At 48.1% G+C, this 14347-nt stretch overlaps 2 annotated features.

Annotated features, from left to right (window-relative positions):
• Positions 7041 to 8008: an enhancer, noted in NCBI's record as "H3K4me1 hESC enhancer chr18:76695174-76696141 (GRCh37/hg19 assembly coordinates)". NCBI's record gives its function as "activates a minimal SCP1, AML or CMV promoter by ChIP-STARR-seq in primed H9 embryonic stem cells {active_cell/tissue: H9 hESC(primed)}" and the evidence as "EXISTENCE:reporter gene assay evidence [ECO:0000049][PMID:30033119]".
• Positions 8009 to 8977: an enhancer, noted in NCBI's record as "H3K4me1 hESC enhancer chr18:76694205-76695173 (GRCh37/hg19 assembly coordinates)". NCBI's record gives its function as "activates a minimal SCP1, AML or CMV promoter by ChIP-STARR-seq in primed H9 embryonic stem cells {active_cell/tissue: H9 hESC(primed)}" and the evidence as "EXISTENCE:reporter gene assay evidence [ECO:0000049][PMID:30033119]".

Below are 14347 nucleotides of genomic sequence, written 5' to 3'. Positions count from 1 at the left end.
AAAGGTTTACCTTCTCCCCTAACCATTCCGCCTCCAGGACTTTCTCCTGTGGAAATAATCAGATAAGCACAGACATTTGTGTATGAAGAGACTCCCTGCAGTAAAGCAACAACAGAAACAACCCTCACCATGCGACAACTAATTACTCCGCCGTGGAGGAGTGCTTCGTGTGAGGCACTGTGTAAAATACAGTCTGTAGAACACAGACTGTAAAATACAGTTGCCGAGGTCATCATGTTCAGAAGAATCCTCAGTGACACTGGGGGAAATCTCAATTCTGTGAAAGAAACAGCGACAGTGCCTGGAAAATTAAAAAAAAATTCATACGTGTTTTTGGGACATGTCCTCACGTTTCATTTGAAGCAGAAAGGGAGAACTCAGGTTTGCAGGCTGTGATTAGGGTCGATTCTCTGCTATCCCCGAGCTCAGGTTTGCAGGCTGTGGTTAGAGTCGATTCCTGCTATCCCCGAGCTCAGGTTTGCAGGCTGTGGTTGGGGCGGATTCTCCGCTATCCCCGAGCTCAGGTTTGCAGGCTGTGGTTAGAGTGGATTCTCCGCTATCCCCGAGCTCAGGTTTGCAGGCTGTGGTTAGGGTCGATTCCTGCTATCCCCGAGCTCAGGTTTGCAGGCTGTGGTTAGGGTCGATTCCTGCTATCCCCGAGCTCAGGTTTGCAGGCTGTGGTTGGGGTGGATTCTCCGCTATCCCCGAACTCAGGTTTGCAGGCTGTGGTTGGGGTAGATTCTCCGCTATCCCCGAACTCAGGTTTGCAGGCTGTGGTTGGGGTCGATTCCTGCTATCCCCGAGCTCAGGTTTGCAGGCTGTGGTTAGAGCGGATTCTCCGCTATCCCCGAGCTCAGGTTTGCAGGCTGTGGTTGGGGCTGATTCTCCGCTATCCCCAAGCTCAGGTTTGCAGGCTGTGGTTGGGGTGGATTCTCTGCTATCCCCGAACTCAGGTTTGCAGGCTGTGGTTGGGGTGGATTCTCCGCTATCCCCGAGCTCAGGTTTGCAGGCTGTGGTTGGGGTCGACTCCTGCTATCCCCGAGCTCAGGTTTGCAGGCTGTGGTTAGAGTGGATTCTCTGCTATCCCTTAGCCCTTCAGTGGAACTCTGCTGGTTTCAATCCTAATTCAGAAAAAGCTATATTTACCAAGCCTACGCCTGCATTTGGCAAACACCGAGTTCCTTGATTTTTGTTTTCCTCCATTTCCCCTTTTTTCACGGGATGTAGCATCATCTTTCAGGCTAATTGAGCCCAAACCTGGTCTCTTGTTAATGTCAAGTGGTTGCCCTAAAATGCTTCCCCCAACCCCAAGATCTTTAGGAGCTGGCCTCCTTCAGCCCTACAGATTAGACCAGAGTTTCTAAAGCACCCGTATTAGTCTGTTCTCACACTGCTATAAAGAAACATCTGGGCCGGGCGTGGTGGCTCACGCCTGTAATCCCAGCACTTTGGGAGGCCGAGGCGGGTGGGTCACGAGGTCAGGAGATCGAGACCATCCTGGCTAACACGGTGAAATCCCATCTCTACAAAAAAATTAGCCTGGTGTGGTGGCGGGCGCCTGTCGTCCCAGCTACTCGGGAGGCTGAGGCAGGAGAATGGCGTGAACCCGGGAGGCGGAGCTTGCAGTGAGCCGAGATGGCACCACTGCGCTCCAGCCTGGGCGACAGAGCGAGACTCCGTCTCAAAATATATATATATATCTCTGAGACTGGGTAATTTATAAAGAAAAGAGGATTAATGGGCTCACAGTCCCACAGGCTGTGCAGGAAGCATGCTGCCGGCCTCTGCTTGGCTTCTGGGGAGGCCTCTGGAAATGTTCAATCATGGGGGAAGGCGAAGGGGGAGCAGGAGGAGAGAGAGAGTTGGGGAGGAGAGAGAGTTGGGGAGGAGAGAGAGTTGGGGAGGAGGGAGAGTTGGGGAGGAGGGAGAGTTGGGGAGGAGAGAGAGTTGGGGAGGAGGGAGAGTTGGGGAGGAGAGAGAGTTGGGGAGGAGAGAGAGTTGGGGAGGAGAGAGAGTTGGCGCACGCTTTCAAACAGCCAGATCTCACGGAAACTCACAACCGTGACGACAGTGCCAAGGGGATGGTATTAAACCACAAGAAACCGCCCCATGGCCCCGTCACCTCCCAGCAGGCCCCACCTCCAGCACTGGGGGTGACAGCTGAGCATGGGATTGTGGTGAGGACGCAGAACCAAACCATATCAGGGTCACATGTTATATTTAATCAAGCCCCATAAAACAAGCGAGGTGAAAGCTTGGAGGTAAATGCATGTTCTCATCCTAGAGGGTTGAACTTAAGAAATATTATCTGCAGTCAGACCTTTAAATAGATGTAGACTGAAGTCCCTTATGTCTCAAACCAGTTTTTCTTTTTTTTAAGCACCTCAGAGAAGAGGGCGATTTGAAAGTAAGGCCTGGAGGCATCTGCGAAGTCACAGAGGGGAGGAATGACCTTTTATTTGCTTTAGAGCTTTTTGGGTTTTTTGTAATAATCACATTAAAATAATAGTCATGTAATTAGAATAGAATAAGATTTTATCTTTCAAAGGTAAGGCAATGGAAAGATATTTATTTGTGAAATAAAATCAGCAACCATATCATGAGATTGATTAAAAAAGCAGCCACTTTAACTTAAGGTTCCAAAGGCCTGAGCTGTGAGGGGTGTATGATGTCGCTACCAAAATAATTCCACGGTGTTTGCTGAGGCCTGACATATGCAGGCCGTGGTACCAGTGTCTTCGTGGAGGTGGTGGCCCTGCCCCGCATGCCAGTTTGCTGCAGGAGTCTGGTGACCATGCTTGTTAGCTGGGGGATGCGTGGGCTCTGGGAGACCTGAGTCTTAGGTTCCAGGGATGACCCTAGATGTCCAGCACTGAGCAACTCCTTGGTGACGGGAGTTATTGAAGTCACAGCCCTTCTCTGAGGCAAAACCAAGTTCGTGAGTAAAAACAGTGTGGGAGGGGAAGAGCAGTGGACACACAAATCTACATGGAGGTGATTTGCTTTCCTTCCTTTCTTTGTTGCTGTCTTTGTTTTGCTCTAGGAGAGACAGAGAGCGTCTCATCTCATTCTGCAGATGATGAGCGTGGTTTTGAAGCCAGGTGTTCTGCACTGGAGGGCAGCTGTTGATCTTCCTCGGCTGCCAGCCCAGGCTCATCTCGGGGGTGGGGGGGTTTGTGGTGGGACGGCCCTCGTCCTGCCTGGCTCCAACGCTCAGCCTCAGGGGCATACGGTGCTAGCTCTTGGTGCTGGGCGCCTGAGACCCTGTGTCCCTCGTCCCCTCAGCCTGCGGCTCCCCGCTCCCTGCTATGTCTTGCTGGTGGAGGGAAGGGGTGCGGGAGCAGGTCCTTCTGCTGGAGAGTTTTTGGGGACTCGGTGTGAATGCAGGAGAGCTGGTGAGCACACTTTCCCTAGGGGACAGCTAGGAGGCTCACGAGTCGGGGGGGCAGGGTGGGAAAACACTTTCCCCCCTTTTTTTCTTTCCTTCTCCACTGTCCAGCAGGCCTGTTGTCCCTGCAGGCCCGGGGGAGCCACCTTCTAGAAGTTGCATAACCTTGGCCTGTTTCACTCAATATCACGAGCACATATTTTATGCTCATTTACATTTTAAATGGGTACATTTTAAGTCCCATCCTTTTTGAAAATATGAAATGCTTCCTAGAATTATATGTTGGACAATAAGATTAGAACTGTCTGGAGTATTAACTATGAATAAACTTTTAATAAACTGGTGATAAGAATCTTACTGAGGGAAGCACCTCAGCCTGGCTTCCAGCTGGAGAGGCCCTGGGCAGGTGGGGCCCAGGCCGTCTGCGGTGGGGCCAGTGTGGGAGGCTGAGAATCTCTGTGTATTGATGCTTTTTGTCAGTTCTATGTGATTCAGCCTTGGCCACGCCTTGGGGTTTGTATGGCCATGAAAATGAAACTCCAGCAGACACTTTGGTTTCCAGACCTAGCATTTGCCTCCAATGGGCCATGACTCATACAGACATAACGTACATTGATATAGACAAGCTTGTGATATGCACATATATCAAACGGCCAGACTGGGAGAAGATAAAATGTGGTGGGAATAAAAAAGTGGTCAAGAAGAAATGAGGGAAGTTTGACTTAAGCCTTCAGTGTGTCTAGGGAGAATTTGTTTTTCCTTTCTAAAAAGAGTCAAGAAAGGAGATCACAGCTGGGAAAGACGTTTAATAAGACAGAGCTGCACCAGCCAAGCTTTTCAGACAGGGGCTGAGGGCAGAATGTGTTTCTCATTTGGTTTGTCTTCGCCCAGACAACAGAGGATGGGCTGGTTTGAGGGTTGCATGTTGCCAGGAGGGTATCTCTGGATGTTAATTTTTCTACTGTAGCCTAAGATTTTGAGATAAAAGATTTGAACCTAAAGGAAACCTTTCTAGGACTGGAAACTCCTCATATTGTGGATGGAGAATTCTATTAATAGTATTGATACCCACACGAGTCAGCCTTAAGGAAAACCACGACAAAGGAACAGGGGCCTCCTGACAATTACTGTCCAACTCCGATGAGACTCCAATGGAGAGAAATGTCATCATTATTGAGTACTGGAGGGACAGATATTTTGGTGACAGATTAGAGCTTGTAGCAAAACTCAGATGACAATGCAAAGCCACTGCCTCTTTTGCCTGAAAATTGGACTGAACACCTTCTTGTATCCCAGATTTTGCCCTTTGAAAAAGGCAGCTATGATTCAGAGAAGCCAACAATCATAGATATTTATGAGATAATTGGGGCATTTGATAATATGAAGACACTTGTTAGGTATTTAAGATGTGATAGGCCAGGCGCGGTGGCTCACACCTGTAATCCCAGCACTTTGGGAGGCCGAGATGGGCAAATTACCTGAGGTCAGGAGTTCGAGACCAGCCTGGCCAGCATGGTGAAACCCCGTCTCTACTTAAAATACAAAAAATTATCTGGGTGTGTTGCTACGCACCTGTAATCCCAGATACTTGGGAGGCTGAGGCAGGAGAATCGCTTGAACCCGGGAGGCGGAGGATGCAGTGAGCCAAGATCGTGCCACTGTACTCCAGACTGGGGGACAAGAGCGAGACTTTGTCTCAAAAAAAAGAAAAAAAAAGTGATGATGATAGGATTAGGTTAAACAAGCAGAGGTGTTTGCCAATGAGATAATATGCCCGGGATTTGCTTTAAAACAACACAAAGCGGGCCAGGCACAGTGGCTCATGCCTGTAACCCCAGCACTTTGGGAGGCCGAGGTGGGCGGATCACAAGGTCAAGAGATCCAGACCATCCTGGCCAATGTGGTGAAACCCCATCTCTACTAAAAATACAAAAATTAGCTGGGCATGGTGGTGCATGCCTGTATTCCCAGCTACTTGGGAGGCTGAGGAAGGAGAATCGCTTGAACCCGGGAGGTGGAGGTTGCAGTGAGCCGAGATTGCGCCATTACACTCCAGCCTGGCAACAGAGCAAGACTCCATCTCAAAAAAAAAAAAAAACCCAAAAAACCCCAACCAACCAATCAACCAACCGAACAAGCAAAAAACACAGAGCGGGTGGAGAATTGGGGAGCATGAGCTGAATCGCCCGTGTGTCGACAGCAGCAGAAGCCGGGTGGTGACGGGCGCTCCGGCTTCGCTGTATTGATCCATCCATCTTTATGCATGTTTGGAAATTTTTGTAAGATGTTTGTTTGTTAAAGGTCAGCTATTACCCATGGTGACAGACCTGAGATCAAGCTCAGTGGTCTGGCCCCTGGGCAACCACCAGCCCCATCTCTTCACAGCTGAGATCAAGCCAAGTGGTCTGGTCCCTGGGCAACCACCAGCCCCATCCCTTCACAGCTGAGATCAAGCCGAGTGGTCTGGTCCCTGGGCAACCACCAGCCCCATCTCTCCACAGGTTGGTTTGAATTGGGGCAAATGCACATCCCTTGAGAGAAGGGAGTTTGGAATATTCATCCTCTCTGCCTCTTTTCTTTTGCATGTGACTGTCCACCTTCCCAGCTCATCTCCTGTCTTTCGTCAGCACCTGTCTGTGGGGGAAAAGGTTAGGTCAGGTTTTAGTGGGTCATTTCAGATTTTGCAGTAAGACTTGCTACCATTTATTGAACCCAGGTATCACATTATATGTTCTGCATATATTCCCTTTAATCTTCTCAATCATACTGAAATGTAGCTTTCATAACCCAATTTTATGCATGAGAAAACCGAGGTTTGGAGATGGTCTGCACTGAGAGAGGCCGAGCCAGGTATGAGCCTGGGCTCCAGCCCTGCCCTGCCCGTCTCCCGGTTCGTGGCCTTCCTGAGCTCTGGCCCCGCCCTACCTGTCTCCTCTTCCGTGCGGCCTTCCTGGACTGTGCTACCGCCCTGCCCACATCCCTGGCCCGACGTCTTCCTGGTCGGTGCTCCTGCCCTACCCACATCCCTGGCCCTCAGCCTTCCTGGGCTGTGCCCCTGCCCTGCCCACCTCCCTGGCCCTCAGCCTTCCTGGGCTGTGCCCCCGCCCCGCCCACCTCCCTGGCCCTCAGCCTTCCTGGGCTGTGCCCCCTCCCTGCCCACCTCCCCGGCTCTCGGCCTGTGCCAGCAAAGCAGCCCTGCTTCTGCCTCCACAGACACTCAGGTCCCAGGCTGGGCCTGGTCATCCTTGCAGCTGGAAACTCTTGGCGGAGTGTGAGCCCCACTAAGGCCAGGCAGCTAACGTAGATACCTGAGTTTATTCTTTGATCTCCGAGGCAGTCTGGGCCCATGGTGTGGACCTGGAAGCGTGCGTGTGTGCTCACGGGTGGAATTTGGCCGTTAGCTGCACCTGTGCTCCCGCGCTGCCTGGCGGCCATCCCTGATTTCTCTGCCCTGGCCAGGGCGTGCTGATTTGCTCTGGTTCCTTTTTCATTTCTCTGATGGTCGATGGAAACTATTAGTTCATTTCCAGCATTGGACAAATGTCAGTTACTTAGCTAGGGTCACGGGTTTTGATGGGAGAATTGGGCTAATGGTAGTGATGCCAGTGATTTCTCGGCTGTCATTGTAGATGGCAGAGATATTCCATCTCTCACTGAAGGCAGCCCAGTGGATTTTAGTCAAGTTAATTCGAATTGCACTCTAAAGCTAAATGAAATGTTTATTTCTATGTTGGTAAATGGTATAGAAAAAGCTGCTATTGAAATGACATTTATTCATAATTTGGTCTGTTAGGAATATGCACGCTGAATGCTGATTTGTTTACCTAGATGGAAAATTGTCTCTTACGGAGATGAAAAGCATACCAGATTTCAGTTTCTTATGGTGCGTGTGTGTGTGTGTATGTGTGTGCGCACCTGCTCACACATTGTGCGAGCACTCACCACACTGAAGGGGTTTTGTAGACATTGCTTCACGATTCTCACACCTCCACCTGAGGTTTGTGATACTGTCCCTTTGTTGTCACCATCACTGCAGCTGTTGTGCAGACAAAACCACTCAGCTTCCTGAGGCCAAGTCACTCACCCAAGGTCACTGGCTCACAGGGCAGGGCTGGGCACAGTCTGGCCAGCCCCCAGTCTCCCGCCCGGTGCTTCTCCCTCCCCATGTCTGAGCCAAAGCCTGCAAGTCCTCATGTTGGCACCCACCCGTCTACCCACATGCACCCCTGGGAGACTGCTGGCTCTGTTCTCGGCTCGCCGTGGAATTTCTCCCAGGGCCACCCATGTTCACACACGGACACAGGGACTCCTGGACCCAAGCAGGCCTATGTATTCGTTCCCCAGATAATCAGAGGCACCGATAAAATAAAGCTTCCAGCTGATGGGCATCCGACAGACAGGGCTGTTAGTTTATGTGGGCTATAGGCAGAGTCGACTGGAAAGTTTTGATCACTTTAATTTACTATATCCAGCATGCCTGCTGTACTCAGCCGGCACTTTTATCAAGCCTTGTGAGGCGGTATTGATTTTTTTATTTTCTGTGTAGGATAAGAAGACAGAGAGTTAGGAACAAGAGTGAATGAAGAACTTTCCTAGATTGCTGCTTTCTCCAGCTTATTGCGCGCTGTCGTTTGTGGTTTCAGATGATGGCCAGTACGTCCGGGCTGCCCGCAGCAATGAGCAGGCTGAATAACAATGGAAGGCCAGACAGGAGAGATTGAAAAAGGAGAAAGAGGCTGCTGGAAAGTGAGAAAGCGCATGTGAGAAACAGGAAAACAGGCCGGGCTGAGGGAAAAGTGTCCAAGGTGTAGGTAGCCCCATCAGCATGTTCCGTTAAAGTCGCTGCAAACTGCCAGGACAGTTTTTCATCGAAGAGTCTGGCTGCAAAGTCTACAGGGAGGAGAACCAAAGCTTCACTTTATCATTTTCTTCCTTAAACGAACAAAAGAACCTCCACCTCCTCACCCCCAGGAAGCCACAACACAGCACAACACAACAGCGGTGGCAGAGTGCCTGAGGAGGCGGCATTTGGTGCCGTCCCAGATGTGGCTGCCTCAGTGGCACCTGCTGTCCTCACCCTGGTCAGGGCCTGTGAGGCTGAACCTGTCTCAGCCCACACGCCTGACGCTGCTGCGATTCCAACGCCCCTTTCCACTTCCAGCCTTCTGAGGGAGTGTGATGAAATTTGACAAAACATAGAGGCTAATGTGGGTCATTTTAATAATATGGTTTCTCTTACGTTGTGGTGGAAATGGAGACAAGCAGAGTGAGAAACAGAATCCCAGGAGTTCGGCGCTCGGATTCTCGCCACCCTGCTCTCCACAGCCCTGCTGACTTGATTTGCTTAAGGAGATGGTGCGCTCGCTCCCTGCCATCGCCTCCTGTCACCGTGGGTCCTGTGGCCACACCATGCTGCCAGGCCCCAGACAGATAGCACCCTGAGGCTCACGTCCGGTCAGTGGCTCTGCGTGGGGACACCGCCACTGGCTTCCAGAAGCACGTTCCAAAGCCAAGACCCCTGGGTGGCCCCATGGGCGATGGATGCTCCACTCTCAGCTTCCCTGGACTTTCAGGAGTAAACATGCAGGTGGATGAGCACGTTCCAAAGCCGAGATCCCCGGATGGCCCCACGGGCGATGGACGTTCCACTCTCAGCTCCTCCCCTGGACGTCCAGGAGTAAACATGCGGGTGGGTGAGCACGTCGAGGCGTGGGCGCCATCACTAGATTGCACTTAGATGATCCTTAAGAAAACAGTCTCAGAGTCGTGGGTGCCGGGCAACGTGGAACGCTCGCTTTTCAGAGAAGTCACTGAGGAAGACTTCAGCATCGCCTGTTCCGCTACACATGCAGCCCCCGGAGGCTTCAAAGACGTCGATCCAAGGTGAGTGTGTAGCACAGCAGGGACTGCACGCGATGGGACCCTGGGCCTGGAGGGATTTTGGAAAAAGAAACAGTGATGCGGTAATGGCTCAGCTCAGCCACATTTTGGTTGTCACAGGAGAGTGACAAAGGTCCCGGGATGTTCAAGAGCAGTGGGCCGCACAGCAAAACCAGAAACTTCCAGAATAGGTGAGAGATGACATTTTTAAAATCACGCACACACAACTCTCTTACTTTAAGCAATTTTAATTGCAAGGTATTCAAATCCCTATAAAAAGCCAGTTTCCCGTAGCTATTAGGTCTTTCTTCAGAAGACCCATGCGTGTTTCATCTCGAATGCCGTTCCTGGGAGATTCTGCTCACAGATGTATGTGACACAAGCCCTCCGTTTCATTTCGGAGCAGGAAATGTACAGGTTGTCAACAGGGGACCTTGTCTGGATAGCTACGTGTACAAAAAAATGAAGGGCAATTCGGGAGCCCAATATTTGGGATGTGTTTATTTTCCAGCTCCATGAGTTCTGGCTTTTATGATATGAAAGTTCTGTTTCTGTACTTCGTCTTTAATTTTGTAAAAAGAGGAAAGCAGTGATATGAAATGTGCCGTGCACAGAGCCGGCTCGTTCACACACGCTTGCATTGGCCACACTAGTGTCATCTCTAACATGTTGGTGATAGTCTATTGGAACAGCTGGCTGGTAACTCTGTATCGTGTGAGTGGAGTTCAGTGTGAAAATGATTTGTAAAACCACGACGTAAAGTTCTCTTTAACAAGGGTTTTGGTAAAGTATGAAGCTGAATCCGAAGTGGTATAAATTAGACTTTAAATGGGACTTACATTAAAATCTTCAGGGTCAACATTGGACTATGAAATAAAGATAGCTGTTAATCATGTTATAAACGAACACCTGAGACTAAAAATCTGATGTGGAATTTGGAGCTCTTGCTTTTTAAGCAGCATATCTTTAATCTGAAAGCTCCATTTGTTAAAATCAATTAAAGGGACCTGTTGTTGCTCAAGTAATCCCTGGTGATCACTCACAGAAGGTGCCTGTGTGTGCACTGCGGCCCGATTTGATTGGGGTTAAATTTCAGTTAAATAAAGTTAACGCACGACTTTTAAAAATGTGGCTTGCCAAAGCTATTTATTTTGCAAAGAAATTAATGCCTTGTCATCAAATGAAATTAAGGCCCGTCACCCCCAACCCCAATTCTATTGGCAATCACAGTCATGACAGGCAAGGGAGGGGTGGACTCAGAGGCGTGTTATGTGCGTCGATATCTCAGGGCCTCCTGAACACTTTCTACTAAGTTCTAGAGCTCCAGGAAGCCCAGGTGAAACGGTTTATTTAACCTCATAGCACGTTGCTAGGAGCTCCGAGGCTCCCTGTCCCTGGAGGTGTGTAAGACTGGAGGAGACAGCCATCTGTCCTGGGCCATTTCTGCCGAGCTGCTCAGATGCTGGGGTCCGGCCATTGTTCTGCCCTGGCTGCATTTGTCTCGCTTGGGCTCCGGGACTCACACTGCCCTGTGGAGGCGCAGAGGCACGTGTCGACTTAGCAGCTGTATCTGTGGTTGCTTTTTCCCCCACCTAAGAGTACTTACTTAAAAATAAAGGGTCATGGTGCGAAAAGGAAAGCACTAATGCAGTAGAAAGTAAAAGCAAATTAACTTTTTGTATTGTGTGTTGTTAAAAATGACTGTGTGCTACCTATTCCCATTTGCAGGTAGAATCTACTCAGCGGAGATACAAAGTCATCTTCTAAGGTGATTTGTGATTCACAGTAGTGATTTTGTCTCATGTGTAAATACAAATTTAAAGTATGTGCAGGGATTGCTGAAATAATCTCTAAAGGGAGAGAATGTTTCTTCTACTTTTGGAGTTGTGGTGGGCTTGGGTGTGCTGATTACAGCACTGTGATTTATTCTCATTGTAAAGGGCTATTGTTGAAGTTGAAATAGTTGCTTTATTTACAATACATAAGTTCCATTATAAAAGACGGCAGGTGCAGTTTGAGGGAAAATGTCACTATTGGGCGAGGAATCATCATGCAACCTTAAAAAAACCGAAGACTCTGAAATATTTTAAAGCCATATGGTAGGCTAACTTCTGGGTGCGCTTATTTAGAAATCAATTTCATTTTAAAGCAGAAAAGCCTCATTAAGTGAATATATTAACTTCTCGTTCCCGCCCCATAAGGTAATATTAACTGAAGATTCGGAGTGAAGGAAAACTGGGTCTGCGAGCCGAGGTGGGGATTTTCCTGGGCAGAAATCTGTAGACCTGAGCTGTAGCCCAAATCCTCACACTAATGGGCCTTCCTCCCCACTTCAAAATGGGGGTAACCAAGCCTGGTCCATCTATCCTAAAGGATGTTATGTCAGATGAGCTAAAGGTAGCCAAAGAGTTTTCGAAACTATAAAGCACTAGACAGATACAAGAGGTTGCCCCTTTGGTTTCCTTTTCTTTTCGACTCTGTGTCGGAAATTCAGTATTTTCACTGATTAATTGTCCTCAGTAAGACGCACAACCGTATTTTTTTTAAAAGAAGATTAATGTGTAGCTGTAGCGTCTGGAATCATTTAAAGTGCTATTTGAAAATCTGACCCATCATAACAGTCAGATGCTCTCAGAAAAAGATAACAATGAAAATAATAACAATAATGACAACAATGAATGTTAAACATGGAAATAGGCACATTACCATTATAGCTTAGCATTAGCTGTTGTTAAAGAAAGGAGGACTGAAAAAAAAGGCATTTCTTTCCATTCAAAATACAGACCTGAGCATTTAACTAGAATCAGAAGAAAATACCACTGAAAATGGAATAAATGGCTTCGGTTTACCCAGGTTATTTCTAAACAGTAATGCAAAGATGTAATAGAAATAATTTAGACATATGGATAAGAACCTTCAAATCAATAGTGCTAGCAGTGCCACACAGCATATGCTGATGCAATCAAACAGAATTGAATTTCATACAAATGTTGGCAAATCTATATCCGATTATCACAGCAAAACTTCATTTTCATTGATTTATAATGTATTATTATTGTTTCCACCAAACTGCCATAGACAGCCATTCAGCAGCTGTGAAGTGCCTTAAGGGTAAATACAGGGGCTCGATGACGGGGTGGGCTGTAGACATTTAAGAGGCCAATAACTCACGGGGCGGCAGGTGCGACGTCCCAGCGGCTCCCTCCTTGCTCCTTTTAATCGCATTAGATCATTCTTTGAGAGTTTTGTGACATGGGGGCGTACTAGTTTGATATTCATGTATGAATCAGATCAAAAGGAAGGAAAATATTTTGTAGCATACAAAGATTTAGCAAACACAAGGCTGAACAGTTCCGTTAGACACATTCATGTCTGTGTGCCTATATCCAGTCTATATCCAAATCAATAATCCATACCCGTATCTATATCACCTCCACGTCTCTCTCTGCCTCTGTCTCTATACCTATCTGTGTCATGTGAAGACATTATTTAGGCTGGTATTATTTTTAGGAGCCCTGACTCCTCTGTGGCACACTCCTTGCTAAGATTCGCAGTCTGTGTGTCTCACACACCTTTCTTTTAGAGATCTCAGTTGACTGTTCTGTTCTATTGGAATTCCCAGTTGACTATTCTATTCTATTGGAATGAGAGATTTTTCTTCCCAGCTTCTGCTTCCCTGGACATCCGTGACCACAGGAGACGGTTTCTGGCATCATCTAAGCAGCATGGTTCTGCTCTTTTGAACAGGGATTCTATGAACAGTGATTCTCCTTGTGAACATTTTTAAGAAACAGAAATGGAATTAATAACAATGAGTTAGGTTATTATGTTAAGGCTTTAGCTCACGGCTATACAAAATAAAGCAGAAATCTGTGTATCGTTTGTATTCTTTCATTGTGTCTGTCAGGTTGACATGTAACCTTCCTTCCCCATGTCTCCCTCCTGTTGTTGTCAGCCGGCATCACCTGTACGTACATATCATGTATGTGTGGAATCACGTGTGCGGCCTTCTTTGTGTTTGGCTTTTGTGCTACATGCTTTAGGGAGTCACCTTCGTGGTCACACATGTCACTGCTTGCTCCTTTTTATTCCTGAGTCTTTTTTTTTTTTTTTTTTTTTGACAGAGTCTCGCTCTGTCGCCCAGGGTGGAATGCAGGGGCACGATCTTGGATCATTACACGTTCCGCTTCCCGGGCTCAAGCCACCCTCCCGCCTCAGCCTCCTGAGTAGATGGGACCACAGGTGCACACCACCACGCCTGGCTAATTTTAATGCCTTTTGTAGAGAAGTGGTTTTGCCACGTTGCCCAGACTGGTCTCCAACTCTGGGCCTCAAGTGATCCGCCTGCCTTGGCCCCGCTAAGCGCTGGGATTACAGGCGTGAGCCATGACACCTGGCTGCTGAGTCATTTTTGATTCTTTTTCCATTTATCCTGCGGCCTCCTTTTTCTGAGGTATGGGGGCTGAGGTCTAGTTTAAAGGATGAAGGGGTTATAGGATAAACAAAGGAGTTTTAGAAACAACAAAATCCCCCATTGCCACTATTTGCTAAAGTGACGGTGACCATCATGTAACTGACCTTGGTCCCCCCCCACCCCAACGTCTCCACTCCACTCCCCTCCTCTCTATCATGGTCTTTCTACCCCACTGCTCTGCGCATTCTCAGCACCTGCCTGCCGATAACTGGTGTCGAGTTAAAGAAGACCAAGAATTCCAGGAAATCAAAATCCCTGTGCTTCTTTAGAGATATTCACACGTCAATGCTCAAATTCACATGGAAAAGAAAGAGACTTAGAAGAGCCAAAATCAGCTTGAAAAAGAAGAACAAAATTGAAGGGTCGCTCTTCCTGATTTCAAAATGTTCTAGGAAGTACAGTCGTCATGGCAGCATGGCTCTGGTGTAAGGAAGACTTGGACCAATGGGATAAAATTTAGAGCCCCCGGTAAACCCTTGTATACATGGTCAATTGATTTTTGACAAGAATGCCAAGAAAACTCAATTGACCATTTCTACAAATTCTGCTGGGACAACTGAATATCCACATGAAGAGAATGATCTCAGACTCCTACCTCACACATA

The sequence above is a fragment of the Homo sapiens genome, chromosome 18 (genome assembly GCF_000001405.40).
Source record: "Homo sapiens chromosome 18, GRCh38.p14 Primary Assembly".
In the NCBI taxonomy this organism is placed as follows: Eukaryota; Metazoa; Chordata; class Mammalia; order Primates; family Hominidae; genus Homo; species Homo sapiens.
Note: the sequence above shows the minus strand (reverse complement) of the source record. Positions and strands in the feature narration are given on the sequence as shown.